Genomic DNA, 19,373 nt, shown 5'->3' on the forward strand with positions numbered 1-19,373 from the left:
GAAACTGAATGTCATCAGGTACATAGATCCCAGGTGCACCCTCAGTCCAGCCCCCTAAGAGGAGGAGCCCGAGGGACTCATATATGGTGCACTCAAGAGTAAAGAGGTACCCGAGTCTTCAGGTGGCAGATGTCCGCATCCTGACGACGATGTGTTTGCAGACTTAACACAAATACTGGAAAATCGGCTTCCTCCAAGCAAATCTGGTCTACTGATGTCATTGTTTCTCAGAACCTGGAAACTAGAATTTATGTTTAATTAAATGAAACCCAGGATCATTCACTAGTGTTAACCTAGAATAAATCCCCCTACCACTCTTTGGAAGTAGACTATCTTGTAACAGCCTCTCTCTCGTGCTCATGTCTTCATCTTTGTATTTTTTTTCTTTCTCTACTCAGTCTCCATCTATCTCTGCTTTATCCCTATCTCCATCTCTCTCACTTTTTCTCTTTCTCCCTTTTTCTCTCCTCTCCATTTTAAAACATAGATGTATAGCAACCCAAAGTGTGATCTATATTCTAAATTGCCTTTCGGCACTCCTGGAGGGTCCAGCCCTTTGCTGCTTTGGTATTGGGGAAGGCAGCTGCTTTAGAGTCCCTGCCACAGCCACGCACTCCCTGCTTACGGGTATTTGAATGATAGTAGTGGTCGTTTGGGGAGTTCCCCTAGAGACTTCTGGTGGGGACTTGTAGACTAAGTCTGAAAGCCAAAAACAAAACAAGGGATATTGGTGAACTAATTAGATTATGCAGCCAATTTGATCGTTTATAAAGACGATTTATCTTAGCTGCTAAGATAAACAAAAAATAGTTACACTGAACAAAAAAGTTGCGGGGCTGGGTGCGGTGGCTCATGCCTGTATTCCCAGCACTTTGGGAGGCTGAGGCAGGCAGATCACAAGGTCAGGAGATCGAGACCATCCCGGCCAACATGGTGAAACTTTGTCTCTACCAAAAATACAAAAATTAGCTAGGCGTGGTGGCATGTGCCTGTGGTCCCAGCTTTTCGGGAGGCTAAGGCAGGAGAATTTGCTTGAACCAGGGAGTTGGAGGTTGCAGTGAGCCAAGATTGTGCCACTGCACTCCAGCCTGGCGACAGAGTGAGACTCCGTCTCAAAAAAAAAAAAAAAAAGTTGCTTCAGGAAAAACTCTTTTGAGGATATATGCTGATTCTCTTATGGATTTTAGTGTCAACAAGGTCATCAGAAATTATGATCAAGACCTAGTAACAAGTTGAGAAATAAGTTTGTGTGTGACTTCTGAGTATTGCTAACAGATATATTTTTTAAAATTCCAATTCATTTTGTGAGCTTGCAATCTGCAATTGGTGTTGAAGAAGCCATTTTATGGAGCATTTTATCATCTGGATACCAGATGTTCTGGAGTATATGCTTTTTTTTTTTTTAAATGACCCATTTTGTGGAATTTTTTTTTTTTTTACAGTCTAGGGATAACTCATTTTCATAGTCTGCAGAAAAACTCATGTTAGGTGCATAGTGATTTCTCTCTATTCAAACTATTAATGCTTTGTATCGTATAGTTTTATATATTCTCATTAAATCAATTCATATTTACTGTTAGAATGAACCCATATTTACTGATAGCCTACTGTGAGCAAAGCACAGTACTACAAATTGTGGAGAGTTATGAATGCTGATTTCAAAAAAGGTTATAAACATTTCTTTTGATGATGTGATAAGACAGCATGTAAATTTGCAATAGAAAAGTTAAGGTACTGCATGCACAATGCTATTTAGGACAAAGTCCACCCACTATAAAAAGCAAGGAGTCTCTAGCTGGGGAATCATTTGTTTAGTTGGCTTTTGCAGGACCGACTGTAGGATCAGTGTCCTCCCACTATTTAAATTCCCCTTTCCTTGGAAGCTTCCTGCCGCAGTTGTTTTGAGTCTCTTGCCTACGTGTCATGTCGCATTAGTGAGCACAGGCCACATGGGACTTGGCTAGGATAGAAAATCCTGTATTTCTTAGGAGGAAAAAAAAAATAAAAGCCCTCACATTCATTTCCAGTTATTCATTTTTCATTTTAAGGTCCATCCCAGATCTAAACTGTCTAGATCTGAACTGTTAGATCTGAAATGTTGGTTTTTGGTTAGATGTTAATTGAAGGACAAATTGTCAGTTATTTTGATGTTAGTTTGTCGTTTGACTTTTTATAAAAATAATTTAAGGCAATTTACAATGATGTATATGATACTTGAAAAAAAAAAAAAAAAGAAACAGCCTGGGCATGGTGGTTCACACCTGTAATGCCAGCTCTTTGGGAGGCCGAGGCGGATGGATCACTTGAGCCCAGGAGTTTGAGACCAGCCCCGGCAATATGGCAAAACTCCATCTCTACAAAAAACCAAAAAAACAAAACAAAAAAACCCACAAAAGTTAGTCAGGCATGGTGGCATGTGTCTGTTATTCCAGCTACTCAGGATGTTGAGGCAGGAGAATTGCTTGAACCGAGGAGGCGGAGGTTGCAGTGAGCTGAGATTGCACCATTGCACTTCAGCCTGGGTGACTGAGTGAAGCCCTGTTAAACAACAAAACAAAACAAAACAAAACAAACAAACAAACAAAAAACCAAGGAACATAGGAAAGTGAAGCCAAGATAAAATAGGGATGGGAAAAGGCAAATGAATCAGCAATGAACTCACCTATAACTTCTCACATCGTGAAGTCTATAATATGTTCTTTAAAAAAATACTTCTAGTTCCTGAAGTGATGCTACTTTCTGCACCTGTTGCTTTCTTCTGTCAGTCACTGTGTTGCCTTATAAGGCTCAAGGTGGCCAGCAGAGATGGGGAAAGAGATTCTCTTTTATATTTGCCAGCATTTGCAGTGCGTCTCAACCTGCCTTGGGTGCAGAGGGAAAGCTGCTTGATATGTTATTATGGTTCAGGGTTGCTTATTAATTCTTACAGTGAGCGGAGGTCTGAAATAACCTGAACCACCCCCTAGCTATGGGAGCTTTCTACGTTATCCTTAGCAGGTGAGCATCTGTATCTTTTATTAGTGTTCATTACATGTAAAGCATTTGCTGGACTTGGACACATGTTATGCACTTGGGACAGAAAGAGCTACCATTTGCAGTTCTTGTCCTTGAAGAGCTTAGAGATAGAGACCTGTAGGTTGCTGGTTTACTTAATTTTTTAAATATGCCTTTGTAGCCTCCTAGAAATATTAAAAGTGTACGTTACTATTACCGAACTGCATCTCTGTCTCCTGACTTGTAGACATGTCCATAATATATTGTTAAAGGAGAAAAGCAAGGGGAGAGTAATATAAAAAGTAGGATTCTTTTCCTACAAAAACATATGCCCCTCTGCCAAATATATGTGTTTGTATGCTACTGTAGGTTTGCATAAGCAAGGAGAAGATATGTCGAAAGATCTGCATCAAACTATTAACACTGGTTAATATTAACAATTGGTTGAGATTGATTAGTAAGGGGAAGTTTAAGGGAGAGGCAAGAGGATTAGCTTCTCCTTTAAACAGGACAAATGCTATTAATTACAATAACAATACAAAGCAATTATTAATTGCAATAATATTGCTATGAATTCATTAAGTGTGTATTCCAATTTTAATTTGAAAGGCACTACTTAAAATTTCAGAATCACAGTTAACAAATGAAAGCCATTTCTTTAGATCTAAATTTTTTGTTTTTTTGTTTTGATCAGCACATCATGCAGCGAATTCAGAGGCTTCAGGCTGACTGGGTCTTGGAAATAGACACCTTCTTGAGTCAGACACCCTATGGGTACCGGTCTTTCTCAAATATCATCAGCACCCTCAATCCCACTGCTAAACGACATTTGGTCCTCGCCTGCCACTATGACTCCAAGTATTTTTCCCACTGGAACAACAGAGTGTTTGTAGGAGCCACTGATTCAGCCGTGCCATGTGCAATGATGTTGGAACTTGCTCGTGCCTTAGACAAGAAACTCCTTTCCTTAAAGGTATCTGTTTTCTGCTTATTGATTCCTAGGATAAAGTACATTAACAGTAACTCAGAGTGAATTCTAGAATCCTTGGAGGAATGAGAAGGCCATTTAGAAATGGAGACTTTTGGTACATTTTTATTATGAACATTAATTGTAAGATTGCATGATTGGGAATATCAACCATGGGCAATAAACCTAAGATACGTGACAATGCATTCATTAATTGGCACCTGATTTATCAGCCTTGAATGCACATTAAATTAAATGCAACATTTCTTTGTGAAAAATGAAGGAGGAAGTTTGTTTCAGGTATAGTATGAGAATTGTGTTTTATAATGAACTATGTTTATTTCTTCTTCTTTCTATGGCCATGAAACATCACAACCTTCTGATCTGAGAGATGGTGGCTCTTGGGTTGGAGGAGGGAGTTGCAGCAAAGTGGTTCTGAAGTGGAGAGTGGGTAATTCAGACCTATCAAGATGAAAAGCATGAAGCAGAAATGCATTATTGTTATTATCTGTGAATCTCAGCTCCATTTTATGTAGCATAGCAGAGCTTTTGTTATGCTCTCAGCTCAAAATACTTCTGGGACTCTCAGATGTTATTTCAGTCTTGGTGTTCTTAAGGGTATATTGGAAAAAAGTGCTAAACTAGATGAAGATATTTTGTTCTGATATCACTCATAACCAAGTAAACACAACAAAGCAAAAACAAAAAACTTTGTTCTCAGGCAACAAATGCTTTGTTCCCCGCTCAGAGCTTTATGAAGGGTCCAGCCTTTGATACAGTGGGGGTAAAGAAGTAAAAAGTTTATCTTGTAATGGAAGTAGTAGAGATATTTGGTTCTATTTTTGCTGGATATGCTGAAATTGAAGAAAGCAAGACTTGTTTATACCCTCTCAGTCTCCTTTTCACTTCTTTTTTTTGGTTTGTTTTGTTTTCTGAGCCTTCTACAATCCCTTTGTCCCATGCTTTGCCCTGCTTTTAACTAGTTTCCTTCCCCAGCAATTGGATGAAGGAGTTCAAAAGCTGATGCAAAAGTCTAATTTTTCATATTTGCACTTCTAGTATAAGGACACAAAATGAAGTATGACTTGAAGACATTGTTCTGTGTAATGGATGTATTTTCTCTGAGTGAACTCCTTTGCTTTTTCCCATATAGCTCATATCTGCTTTTGGTGACCAGAAATATTAATAGAAAGGTCTGAATGAGTTATTGGATTGGGGTCATCATTAAAAAAATTTGAATCAACATATATATTCTCATAGTAATCCTTTCTGTTAGAGATAAATGGTGAGGTGGGGGATTTTTTTTAAGAGGCTGTTTTTGAATGCAGACTTTGAGAGTATCAGATTTATTCTTCCAGTTATATGTTTTAACTAAATTGGTATTGAGAAGTTAAGTTCTTCAGCTGTCATGGATTGGGTAGACGGTGGTGGAAAGTGACCTGAAAGAGTGCTTGATAAGTAGACTGGATTATTCGCAACTCTTCATAGCTCCACTTCTCTCCAGTAATAGGACTGTCATTACACATCCACATCCTTTGCCTGGTAACTTTGCTGTGCCCTCCCACTGTAGCCAGTTGTACTTCCTCATCCCTTCACTCTGGACTTCATTATTTGACTTGCCTTAGCCAATGGGATGTTAGTAGAGGTGACACAAACAGGGGCTGGAAGTGTGCTTGTGCCATTGGGCTTGCTCTTCCGTGTCTTTGCCATAACCATGAGAATGGCATGCCCTGGCTAGCCTGCCAGTCCCAGCAGAAGGATGAGACACCTGGAGCAGAACCAACCTTGCTGACTGCACAGTGAAGCAGAGCTGCCCCAGCCAAACCCATTCTAGATCAGCTGCTCCCTAGCTGACCAGCAGAGGTTATGTATCCCAAGAAGATACATAATGGTATTTTAAGCCACTGTGTTGATGGGGTGTTATTCTATTCTATTATTGCAACATTAGCTAACTGATACAGCCTTGAATGGGGAAGGACTGCAGATAACCCAGACTGTGTGAACGCTGGTAATTAGGCATTTGTAGTGTTACCATGAAGACCTTCATACATCAGGCCAGTCAGATTCTCCTAGCTCCAAGGTACTAGGCTGAGTTACTAGTAACGAAGGCCATGGCTATTTTTCTGCCATTCCTGAAATGAAGCAAAAAGAGCAGGTTGCCTCATGGGACTCAGGATGAATGTCCACAACAGTTTATTGCTGGCTAAATGAATGGATATTAGGCGAACAGAATGAAAGCAAATCGTTGTACTGATCATTGGAGTCTCCCAGCTGTTGAAGTTTCACTGAGGTACTTGAACTGTCAAGCCTGCAAGAGATAAAAACTATTTCCGTTTGCCTATGCCCTGGGCATGAGCAGAATGCCTCTTGTCCCAACCGGTCCCGTTCTGCCCTCTTGTTCTGCGATTATGTTGTCTGATTTGAAGCTAGAACTTTCAAGGCCCTTTAAACAACTGGAAGCTTAGAATGTCTCTACTGAAGCAAGCACCTTACAATTTTTGCCAACGAGAAAATCTGTTTAATTATTTAATGCTTATTAAACCCTGAGTGCATTTATATTGCACAAACACATCCTCTGCTTAATGCTCTCCAGGAGTTATGGAGGATTCAAATCAAATTACACTGTCCTTTCCTCATGGTATAATTAAGGAGCAATATGAAATGATTAGCGTACAAAATTAAGTTAGTTTTCAGATGATAAAGACAATTTTTTTCTCTTTTGAAATCACCGTTAAAACAATCAGGGAAACTCCATTTTTTGAAGAAAGTAGAGAACATCTGTGAATAGGAACCACAATATGAAGACAGAAGTTGGATGGAGAAATGGCAGATGACATATCAGAGTGGAGAGAAGTCACACTGTCCTGGAGAGGGAAGAAATGGAAGAAGCCAGTGGTTTCCTTGATAGAATCCTAAAAAGGCTCAGGAATTAGAGATGTGATAAGCTGAGGAAGGCAGAGGTGAGGAAGGGGCTGGTGTGGAGAGTGTTTCTAAGTCTGTCTAAGGAATATGTGGATGTAGAGATTCCCACCCCACACCAGGCAGGTAAGTGAGTGCCCCCTTGTGCCTTTGCCACAGATGAGAAAATATTTTTCTGGAGAAATTGAACCAGGGAGGTTATGGAATTGAGAATAGCAAGTATACAGGAGGGTGACAGTGGGGCACCCCATGGAAATCGGGGAGATTAGGCGAAAGCCTACACATTGAACAGTGAGATCTATAGTTTCTCTCCCATCTTCAGCACCAGAAAGCCATCAGATAGGAAACTGGAGGATTCTTCTTCAGACCGTGTGAACCACCCCGCAGAAAAATCCCAGATGGTGACATTCAGTAATCCTCAGTGAAAACACTGGCTGGGCACCAGATTGCCTTGCAGTGAAGCCAACCAATCTGTGTCTCCAACCAGCATTTTAATATCTTATTCTTTAACATGAATGAACACAAAGGATGACCAGACATTTGAGGACAGACTCCAGCATGAAAGAAAGGGCCTGGAGCAGTGGCTCATGTCTGTAATCCTAGCACTTTGGGAGGCCGAGGTGGGAGGATTGCTTGAGGCCAAGAGTTTGAGACCAGCCTGGGCAACATAGTGAGGCTCCCTCTCTACAAAAAAAAAAAAAAAAAAAAAATTAGCTGGTTATGGTGGTACACACCTGTAATCCTAGCTACTTGGGAGGCTGAGGCAGGAGGATTGCTTGAGCCCAGGAGTTCAAGGCTGCAATGCACTATAATTGAGCCACTGCACTCCAGCCTGGGCAACAGAGTGAGACCCTGTCTCTTAAATAAATAAATACTTTTTTAAAATGTAAAAAAAAAAAAAAAAAAAAATAGAAAGCAAAACAAATCATACAAATTTAAAATGAAGTGGGAGGAAATAGAGCAGAAAATGACTTAAAGGACACTGTTCTAATATTCTTACAGAGATAAGAGGAGACATTATATCTATGAAACAAAACCAGAATGCTGCAATAACAGAACAATTGGTCAATAAGGAGGAGCTTTTGGAAATTAAAATTTCTATTTTCAAAATAAATAAATCAATAAAACAGTTGGATCCTAAAGTAGAAGAAGTATCTTTTTTTAGAAGAGGAATGACAAAAAGGAGACGATTATGACTTTTGGAGAATAATTGTAACAATTCCAGTTAGGTCATATAAAAAGTATTGGGAATGAGAATGGCACTGGACTTCTCAATAGAAACTTTGGGAGCTAGAAAACAATGAAATTATGCCTTAAATATTTTAAATAAAAATAATTTGCAACCCAGAATCTTCAGACCCAGAAAAATTAAATAGGAAAATAGAATGAAGACATTTTCAGAGGTAAATCTCAACAATTTTCACTCCCATGTACTGTATTTTTGCCCTAGAAGTTGCTTAAAGCTGTGCTCCAGAAAAATCAAGAAAGAAATCAAGGATGAGGGAGTCATGGAGTTCAGCTCACTGGGGGTCCCATATAGGAGAGGCAGAAATCTGCAGGTTGATGGTGAGGGGAGCCCCAAGATAACAAACAGATAGGCAGCAGGCCTAGTGGTCGGTCCAGGCTGGAGCAGGCAGCAGAGGGCTCCGGAAGGGCCCATTCTTAAAAAACAAAACCAGACAGACATGAGAAATAAAGGTGTGATAGTGTCTGGAACGCTTGACCACATAATGGTGAAGACATATTAGGCTCAAAGAAAACAAAGCAAATGAAAGAGAGGCCTGTGGTGAGGAATGGTGGGAAACAGGTTTGCAGAGGCAGGACGAACTGGATTGCGATGTTTGTGTACATGGAAAAGGACAGAAAGAGACAGATCCCCACTGGTTTTTGGTCTGAGTAACTGCAAGGGGGGTTTTGCCATCCATTTGGTTGAAGAGACTGTTGGTAATACAGATTTCCGGGGGAACCTCAGGAGATGAGTTTTGACACTTTGTTCGAGGTGTCTATTAACGTCTATGTGGAGATCTTCATTTGGCAACTGAAATTGTAGTCTGGAGATCGGCAGTGAAGTCAGGGCTGGAGATATATTTTTTGGAATTGATATTTACATGTATGTGTGTGTTGTGTTGTGTGTGTGTATTATTATAATATAATACAATATAATATAACATATAATATGTATATATAGAGAGACCAGCCTGGGCAACATACTAAGGCTCCGCCTCTACAATATTATTATTATTATTATTATTTTAAAATAATTATATTAAAAATTTTATATATATAACAATACACACACAACACAGCACACACACACACACACACAAGACAACACACACATACCCACACATATATGATTTAAAGCCTCAAGAAGAGATATCAAGACAGTGAGTGAGTGTGGACAGAGAAGAGAAGAGAACCATGGAGCAAGCCCCTGAGGCTCTCTAGTGTGAAGAGGGAAGGGAGATGAAGGGAGCCATTAGTGCTAAGGTAGGAGGAATATGGTATCTTAGGAACCAAATGAAGCAAGTGTAGCCAGGAGGGAGTAATTAACTGTGTTGAATGCTGACAATAAGTCAAGAGAGATGAAGACTGAGAGTTGACCACTGGATGTAGCCATGTAGAGTCATTGGTGTCTTGACAAGAGCAGTTTCAGTACACGGTGGAGATAAAACCCAACTGGGCTAAGTTTAAGAAGTGGGATTGGAGACAGCGTGAATAGACAACTCCTTCAAGGGGTTTTGCTATAAATGGGATTACAAAATTGGGCAGTAGATGGTGGAGATAGTGAGGTCAAATATTTTAAGATGAGAAAAGCAACAGCATGTTTGTTGGCCGATGGGAATTATCCAGCAGAGATAGAAAAATTGATGATGTAGGAGAGAAATGGTATTTGCTAGAGCAATGTCCTTGAGCAGATGAGAGAGGATAGGATTTTGTGCATAAGCAGGGAGACTGGCATCTGATATGAGCATGACAGAAAGAAATCAAGGTCATCGGTTGGGAATGAAGATGGGTGAGGTGGCAGGGAGAGGAGGAATGTGAAATCCTAGAAGAGTGCCAGAGTGACTGAACTAAGAAAATACAAATGACTTGCCAGTCAACATGAAAGGCCAATGTGAGGTTTGTGGTCATGAACTTTAAGCAAGGCCAGACAGTGTGGTTATATATTTTTTTCTCTGGTGAGGTTTAGCTGCACGAGTGCTGGCACAAAGTAGGTAGAGTATGTTTTTGCCATGAAAGTTTGACAAAGGCAGAAAGGGGCAAGGGAGTTGAGGGTGTATGCTAGTGAGTGATTGGCATGATTGACTGGAATTTAAGCCAAATATAGAGTGAAGTGAGGACATTATGGGGGTGAAGGACCATGAAAAGGTGAAACATTCAGTAGATTAGGGGTTCCAGTGGGATTGAAGGACTTTGGAGTTTAGAGTACCAGGACCAATCTGAAAGACAGGGGTTATTGTCAGACGGAGGAAAGTGTAAAATCAGTTAGAATCCTAGTCACTCTTTTTAGTTCCATTCAAATACTGTCTTTTTCATAAAGCCCTCCTTGACACCCCCAGGATTTTGCTTCTCATTCTATCCAATTTCTAGAGGACTTTAATGTTACATTTGTGGCTGGTGGCACATTTTGCCATGCTTATGTATTTGTTTTATCTCTCCCCAACCCAACTAAAGTATAGGCTATTTCAAGGGAAGGGCTATAATTATTATTCTTCGTGTCTGTAGCATTCCTAGGGCAGACTCTTGAAGCTAGACTCAGTACAAAATTGAAGATGTAAATAAGGTGAGAAGCAAGAAAGATTTACAGTTGTTTCAGGTTGGATTCCCCAAGAAGCGCCCTCTGACATGGAGTTTAGTATTCAGGTCACTTATTAGGGAGTGGCCTTGGATCAACACAGGTATCAGGGAGGGGAAAGAAATGGTGTTGGACGGAGGAAGAAGTCGAGCTGCAGTGCAGGTTCAACAACGGCCTCAGCCAACCCCTGCGGAGCTCTGGAGATATGATGGCTCTTTAGAGAGCCCCCCGTACCCGTGTAGGTCAGCACTGGATGTGGGACACTCCCAGGAGGTGCAGCTGAGGCAATTCCTAAAGTGACTGACGGCTCTTCCAGCAGCTGAGGCAACACACCCTCCTGTATGGGAAGTGGGTGGTGTATCACACGATTCATCACAGCACTTTCATTGTTTCAAAATTCTGTGAGGAGTAAGAAAAAATATAAAAGACTTCTATTTTCAGAGGGAATGGAAGAAGGTGGTTTATATGGGTGAAGACTGTGGGAGGTGTGATGACTTTTGAAGAGGAAGTGGTGTGGAATAAATTTTGCCATAGTTTCACTTGCTTTGGTATCTTCCTTTCTTTATGGCACATCTATCTTTTTGCCCAATTAATAGAAAATCATGCTATTTTTCATCATCACAGTATTTTTTTGCTATGTTTTTATTGTTGTTTTTACCAGACTGTTTCAGACTCCAAGCCAGATTTGTCACTCCAGCTGATCTTCTTTGATGGTGAAGAGGCTTTTCTTCACTGGTCTCCTCAAGATTCTCTCTATGGGTCTCGACACTTAGCTGCAAAGATGGCATCGACCCCGCACCCACCTGGAGCGAGAGGCACCAGCCAACTGCATGGCATGGTTAGTCTGGGCAATTTCCCTAGCACTGTAGCTGTAGGCTCCGCTTCCAAGGAAAAGGTTGCAAAAGCCAAGTAAAGACCTAAAAATGCCACAGCATCCTTGGAGCACAGTGTTTATGATAGAACATTCCTTGGCAGGCATTGGGTTTTTGAGGAATCCCAGAGCTAAAAAGAATGATTCTGAGCTGGCTCTGTGGCTCATACCTGTAATCCCAGCATTTTGGGAGGTTGAGGTGGGAGGATCACTTGAGCCCAGGAGTTCGAGACCAGACTGGGCAACATAAGGGGACTTCGTCTCTACAACAAATAAAATAATTAGCTGGGTGTTGTGTATGCCTGTAATCTTAGCTACTCAAGAGGCTAAGGCAGGAGGATTGTTTGAGCCCAGGAGTTCGAGGCTGCCGTGAGCTATGATTGCTCCATTGCACTCCAGCCTGGGTGACAGAGGGAGACTCTGTTAAAAAAGAAAGAAAGAAAGAAAAATTGCTGGTTAGAAGCCATGTTTGACTGAGCTTAATTAAAATGATAAAATCATGTAAAAAATTGGATTACAGGAACTTCAGATTCAGTTGGGCCCAATGGGAGCACATTCCCCCAGTACTGTATGGAGGTGGAGAGAGCAAACCCCTTCTTTCAGGCCTTTATAAGTCTGAAGAACATGGGGCTTTGGGAAATGGAATAAAAGAGGGGTGAGGGTGAAGAATTTCCTTGGTGGCTTCAAAGTATTACCGTGACTCCAGTGTGACTATGACAGTTTGATGTGTTGGTTTTGATGTGGCATTTTTGACATGGGGGTGGGGATATTTTGATGCTGCCTTAAAACCCTGCTATTATTACTAAGTAATGAGTGCAACACACAGCCTCATTTTCATCCCCATTCCTGGGCCCACACTCCATCCCTAATCCCTCCCCCGACCCCTGCATCTTCTCCTGACTCTGACTCTCTTCCCATATTTGATCTTCTTTCTGTCCCCACGTCTTCACTAACCCCAGCTTGGAACCTCATGCTACCCTTGAGACTTCACTAGCCCCGGTGCCTTCATCCCTCCCTGACGCTCACCCCATCTGTGAACTGATAGCTTATTCCCAGCACCCCCGCTTATTCCTATCCATTGCCCTATCACTGACCTTCGCCCTATAAAAGTACAAATGGTCACATTCTGTGTCCTCTGTGACCCTAACACACCTCCTGTTGGCATTTGCTCTCCCTCCTGTTATCCATTGGCAGCTCCTAATGGGCCAGGGGAATGTGGTCAGCATATCATTCATTCACTTGTGCCCAAGTGCCCAAAAAGCATTCAGAACATATTCACAAGAGGAGACGCCTGGTTGATCAGCAGTAGAACAAAGTTATTTATTTATCAGTCCAAATATATGAAGCCACAGTGATTCATATATTTGGACTGATAAATAAATTTGTTGAATGAAGATCATTTTTTTCCAGAAACAAACCCTTAATAGATTAACCAACCTTGTGAATATGTTCCTATTTCAAAGAAGCCTATTTTTTCCTATGATGAATATATTGAATTTTCATTCATGAATTTTTTCATACTATGTCTTTAGGATCACACACTCTGAAAATATTTATCTAATATGTGTTAGGATGTATGCTAAATATTTATCCACACATTATTTTACTTAGATAAATGAGGAGGTCTTAATCTAGTGAGTAGTCTTCAGAGAGTCCTCGTGATGAGATGAAAGAGAGCTATAACCAGAAGGAAACTTTAGAGATCAGCTAGTTTGAGCTTCTTATTTGATACACAAGGAAATGGAGATCCAGAGACACAATGTTATATAGCTCCTGTACAAGGAATTTTTCTTAGATACTACTTGATCAATAAATAGTTACTGTCCAAGTGCCTTCCTTTGAGAGTTTTATCATTACAGATTAAGGATAAAATGGCTAAACAGAGTGGATTAGAAGATCAGATAGGCTTGGACTCCTTTCTGAAAATAAATGTATGCTTTTAATGTTCACAAAATATTCATCCAAATGTCTTCTTCCTAATTTATCCTTAGTGATATCCTTTTGGAGTTACATACACAAATAATCAATATTTTGCTATTTGTCCACATTACATAAGCAAGATTTAAAGAGTTCTCCAAAATAATTAGCATAAAATGTTAGTAAATCTTTGGTTCATTCATATAGCTTGCCATATTATTCTCAATTACTGAAATGCAGTTAATTTTGACTGATTGTATTTCCCTGTTGATGAATATAAAACACGTTTTGGTGATGGTGATTAAACATTACTTTTTCTCCCTCAGGATTTATTGGTCTTATTGGATTTGATTGGAGCTCCAAACCCAACGTTTCCCAATTTTTTTCCAAACTCAGCCAGGTGGTTCGAAAGACTTCAAGCAATTGGTAAGCACCACTGTTATTAATGAATAAAACATCATTTCTTGCTACTGACAGATACTACATTTTTAACATTTAAAATTTATAATTTGGCTGGGCGCAGTGGCTCACACCTGTAATCCTAGCACTTTGGGAGGCCAAGGCAGGCAGATCAGCTAGGGTCAGGAGTTTGAGACCAGCCTGGCCAACATGAAACAGGGCTTTCATGTTTAGTAGAGACGGGGTTTCACTAAACAAATACAAAATAAATACAAAAATTAGCTGGGTGTGGTGGCGGGCACCTGTAATCCCAGCTACTTGATAGGCTGAGGCATGAGAATCACTTGAACCTGGGAAGCAGAAGTTGCAGTGAGCCAAGATGGTGCCATTGCACTCCAGCCTGGGTGACAGGGTGAGGCGCCATCTCAAAAAAGAAAAAAAAATTATAATTTAAGTATATGATTTAAATGTGTAATATACTTTATTGGCTTTTTTTCTTGCTTAATTGATTAGTTTATTATTCTTTTCATCTTTGTAGTAAGCCCAGTTTATTTTCCTGCATGAAACTATATTTTGAAATGGAAACATAAAATACTACATTTCATGTTTGCACATCCTTAAAAATGGTTTGAAAATATTTGAAAATATTTTCCCAGAGTCCTGTTTGAAGCAGGTAGAATGCGTTTCGAGAGAAAAGTTTACTCAACAAAGCATGCTGGCTAATGATGAATATGATGTCCTTATAATGATACCAAAAGATATTCTTCAGTTTTTCTTTTCCATCTCTGTCTTTGCCATCTTCTATTTTCTACCTTATCCAGATATTATTTTCCTTTAAATCTAGTACAGTCTCTGCCAATTTTCCAAAGAAGCAAGAGATCAGGATAAAGAGAAAGCCAGATCCTTTGAGATTTAGAGTCAAATAAATGGGAGTTGACTAGGCCAGACCAGGTCAGGTCAGGCCAGCCCAAGAAACATACGTATCTATGGCTGAAGAGGGGAGCTTGGGGCTTGGAGAAAGAAAAGGAGAATAACTTTGTACTACCACCCTACCCAAAACAAAACAAAACAAAACAAAGCAAACTCTTGGCAGGCATCAGGGAAAGATGAAAATGAGATTGATCTTTATTGTAGAATCCAGGCCAGGGGGCTGCTTTGAAGGCAAGAATTTCATGCTAGAAATTCCTTACTAGCCACACAAACTTCTTGGAGCAAGATAGACTTGTATTACTTCTAACAGTGGGAAAAACACTGCCATCATAACTCACACTTTTGCCATGAGTAAAGAATTTGTCTAGAATCTTAGAGAAACTTCTGCTTGAACTTTAGGTGCATGTCATTGACAAATTTCATTTCCTAGTTTGAAAGAGTTACTCTAATGGTGTTATTAATATAAACTTCTTGGGCTTCTTCCTTGCAGCATATTTTCCTTACTTTGATGGTAGCCTTGAGAAACTGAGTTTGGCTTTCTTTCAAGGATTTTGTGCACTTTTATTATGTCCTGTACCAGAATGAACTTATGCCAATAACTTGCACCTTCATTCAATTTTAACCCATTGTGCCCCTCCTATTGGTATTTACATTTCAAACCATATCTCTAGTTGTATAAGAGAAAGCAGTGAGCTGAGGTGGCGCCACTGCACTCCAGCCTGGGCGACAGCGAGACTCCATCTCAAAAAAAAAAAAAAAAAAAAAGAAAAAGTTGTGTCTCATGGTAAAGGAATTATAAGTATCAATAAACAGACAAGAATATTGTTTTTGGTGGTAGTTAGGGCTTTCTCAATGTTTCTAGAATCATATTACATATGATTGATTACTAGTTGGTTTAGTTTTACCTTAGCTAGTTCCTAGCTATCCTAGGAAGTTTCATTTGGTTGTCTTATAATATTCATGTAATCTCTTGTCATCTTGTAACATACAATACATGACTTATGTAGGCCAGTGGTTCTCAAACTTTAAAGTGCATCAGAATCACCTGGAGGGCTTCTTCCACACAGATTGCTGGACTCCAGCCCCAGAATTTCTGTAAGTCTGAGATGGGACCAGATAATTTGCATTTCTGACACGTTCCTAGGTGTTGCTGATGTTGCTGGTCAGACATCACACTTTGAGAACCACTGATGTAGGTCACACTAGGTATCTCTTTCCCATAGAGTGGCCACTTGATATACTTCATCTCTACTCTGTTTGAGTATTCCCCTTTTAAGCCCCATATCTCATCTAAGGCATTCTTCATGCAGCATCTTGGACCTATAAGCATCTACACCTGCACCTGTGTTGTCCCCTTCCACCCACCTGTCCTCTGTTTTTTTCATTCTCTATCTCTTCACTGTTCTGTGGAGTTTCTACCTCTAAGGAGGTTCTCACCTGTAAGTTTAGAGCCACATTTGACTCTTCTCTCTTCCTGCTCCAAAGTGTACACATCCCTGTTCAACCCAGATGTTTATTGTCATGGGTGTGGCCATGCTTGCTGTTGCATAATCTTTTACAAATTATGGACACATGTGCTAAGATTTCAAACTCCTTAAATAAGGATACATTATGAGTCTTGATAAGATAAAAATAGTTGTTCATTTACTGTATAATTGTCATCTACAGAACATGAACTTCATGAATTGGGTTTGCTCAAGGATCACTCTTTGGAGGGGCGGTATTTCCAGAATTACAGTTATGGAGGTGTGATTCAGGATGACCATATTCCATTTTTAAGAAGAGGTAATGTGTGTGTGTGTGTGTGTTTGTGTGTGTGTGCGTGCACAGCCTGATTTTGGAGTACAACGGTGGGATATGAGAAAGTACACAGATGATGATGAATTATCAGCTGTCTTTATGTGGTACAGAGCTCCCTCTGCTTGAAGAATGACCCTTTCTAGTTTACTCACTGGAGTAATGCACATTGTTACAAGTTGGTTCTTTCTTAATAGGTGTTCCAGTTCTGCATCTGATACCGTCTCCTTTCCCTGAAGTCTGGCACACCATGGATGACAATGAAGAAAATTTGGATGAATCAACCATTGACAATCTAAACAAAATCCTACAAGTCTTTGTGTTGGAATATCTTCATTTGTAATACTCTGATTTAGTTTAGGATAATTGGTTCTAGAATTGAATTCAAAAGTCAAGGCATCATTTAAAATAATCTGATTTCAGACAAATGCTGTGTGGAAACATCTATCCTATAGATCATCCTATTCTTATGTGTCTTTGGTTATCAGATCAATTACAGAATAATTGTGTTGTGATATTGTGTCCTAAATTGCTCATTAATTTTTATTTACAGATTGAAAAAGAGGGACCGTGTAAAGAAAATGGAAAATAAATATCTTTCAAAGACTCTTTTAGATAAACACGATGAGGCAAAATCAGGTTCATTCATTCAACGATAGTTTCTCAACAGTACTTAAATAGCGGTTGGAAAACGTAGCCTTCATTTTATGATTTTTTCATATGTGGAAATCTATTACATGTAATACAAAACAAACATGTAGTTTGAAGGCGGTCAGATTTCTTTGAGAAATCTTTGTAGAGTTAATTTTATGGAAATTAAAATCAGAATTAAATGCTATGTTGTGATGTCTTTTTTATATATAAAAATAGTGATATAATTTAATGCATAGTCCAATTTTTATAGGATTTTGCAAATTTAACGTTCTCATTGTAAAAATAATAGTCAATAACAAACATTTTGGAAAATGGAGAAAAGAAGAAAACTATAATCCCATTATATTAACAGAATCACCATTAGTTCGCTTTTTAGTTTTTCCTCACTTTTTCTTTTTTTTTTTGAGACAGGGTCTCACTCTGTTGCTCAGGCTGGAGTGCAGTGGCATGATCATGGCTCACTGCAGTCTTGACCTCCTCGGCTCAAGCGATCCTCTCACCTCCACCCTACGAGTGATTGGGACTACAGGCATGCACTACCTAGCTAATTTTTTTGCCTGGCTAATTTTTTTGGTATTTTTGTATGGATGTGGTTTCTCCATTTTGCCCAAGCTGGTCTTGAACTCCTGGGCTCAAGCATTGTTCCTGTCTTGGCCTCCCAAAGTGCTGGGATTATAGGCACGAGCCACTGCATCCAGCCTCCTCACATTTCTTAAATGCAGATTTTTCTTATAAAGGTATAATCAAACTGTATTACAATTTTTTGGCCTGTTTTTTCCTGTTAAACTATGTGATTACCAGGCATATATTTGCTGTTTTGGTTTTGGATTGAGGTGAGGACAGAAAAAGACTGCTGAATGTGAACTCTAGAGTCAACATTAAGGTAACACAGTAGTACTGCAGTAGTTGTGACAATTTTTGTGTAGATAGATTATATGGTATTCGTTCGGTTAGTTACTTAGAGCATTTTTTTCTGGAAATACATAGGCATTCATAAGTTGTCTTTAGCTATAGGAAACAATTATCTAGAAATACAAACTTGATCAATTAAATAATTAGGAAATCGTTCCTGGCATACAGATGAAGTTAGTTGGGGCCACTGTCTTCTGTGTGTTCCCTGTTCGGACAAGACATTTAGTAAATACTCAGTGAATTAATGTGCCGAATGACAATGGAAGTCATTGGGAAAGTAATTTACTTGCTAAAACATAGTTTTCAGGTAAGAAAAGGATAAAAATAATTTCATCAATTTGACTATGTAAATTATATAGAATATAGCCAGAATTATATATGTATACTTAGGTATTTTCTATGCTATATATAACATTTATAGATAAATATATATTACATTTATATATACTTATATATAACATTACCTGTCTATAATTTCATGTTGGTAAATTTTACAGAATTAGATTTTTCTAGGATTCTTTTTTATTTTCTAAATGTCCTTCCAAAGTCATGTAAATGAAAGTCGTGTGTTTGTGAATTAATGATATTAAGAGCTAACACTTAGACTGAGTGCTAACTCTGTGCCAGACAGAGTCACATATGCTTTATATGTTTTACTAACTTAATCCCCACAACAATTGTGTGAGGTAGGTGTTAGTAAGCTTACTTTATGATGCTCAGAGTAGTTAAGTGTATTTTCCAATATTACATAACTAGTAAGTGGTAATAGTGGGAGTTGTACCCAAGAAGTCTAGCTCTAAAGCTTATACTTGGGAACCATTCTAGAATATTGCCCATTTACATGAAAAGAACTATACAGAATATTCCCGATGCCAAATGCAAAGCAATAGTTGTATCTTGAAATTTTTATAGGTCATTTCAAACTGGGGATGCATTCTTAGGTCATTGCTGCCACGATTCACCTGACAACATAGGCTTCAGAGACACATAATTTCTATGCAGAATGATTACTCTGCCGTAGTGAAGGCTATTTTTGCGTAAGTGTGGGTATATACAAATCAACACGAGTGGTTCCAGGCTAAAGTATCTAAGCCACAAAGCAGGATTAAAGGGAGCTGAGTTTTCTGGATTTTTTGGATGAGAGAAAACATATGGAAAGAGTTCAGGGAAAACACATATTTTTTAACATGAGAAAATAAATGGTCTAACAGACT

General features: G+C 39.3%; 1 protein-coding gene across 1 annotated transcript in view; it reads left to right on the plus strand.

The window, feature by feature from the left end:
• The window catches only part of QPCT (glutaminyl-peptide cyclotransferase), a 28,693-nt gene extending 11,262 nt beyond the window's left edge, over positions 1 to 17,431 (plus strand). The window contains exons 3-7 of the mRNA NM_012413.4: positions 3,689 to 3,967; positions 11,341 to 11,517; positions 13,794 to 13,893; positions 16,465 to 16,581; positions 16,791 to 17,431. Of these exons, the coding sequence (NP_036545.1) occupies positions 3,689 to 3,967; positions 11,341 to 11,517; positions 13,794 to 13,893; positions 16,465 to 16,581; positions 16,791 to 16,936 (819 nt within the window). The 3' untranslated portion in view covers positions 16,937 to 17,431. The remainder of the gene's footprint in view (positions 1 to 3,688; positions 3,968 to 11,340; positions 11,518 to 13,793; positions 13,894 to 16,464; positions 16,582 to 16,790) is intronic.
• Positions 17,432 to 19,373: the final 1,942 nt, after the last annotated feature.

Source organism: Homo sapiens, chromosome 2, assembly GCF_000001405.40.
Source record: "Homo sapiens chromosome 2, GRCh38.p14 Primary Assembly".
In the NCBI taxonomy this organism is placed as follows: Eukaryota; Metazoa; Chordata; class Mammalia; order Primates; family Hominidae; genus Homo; species Homo sapiens.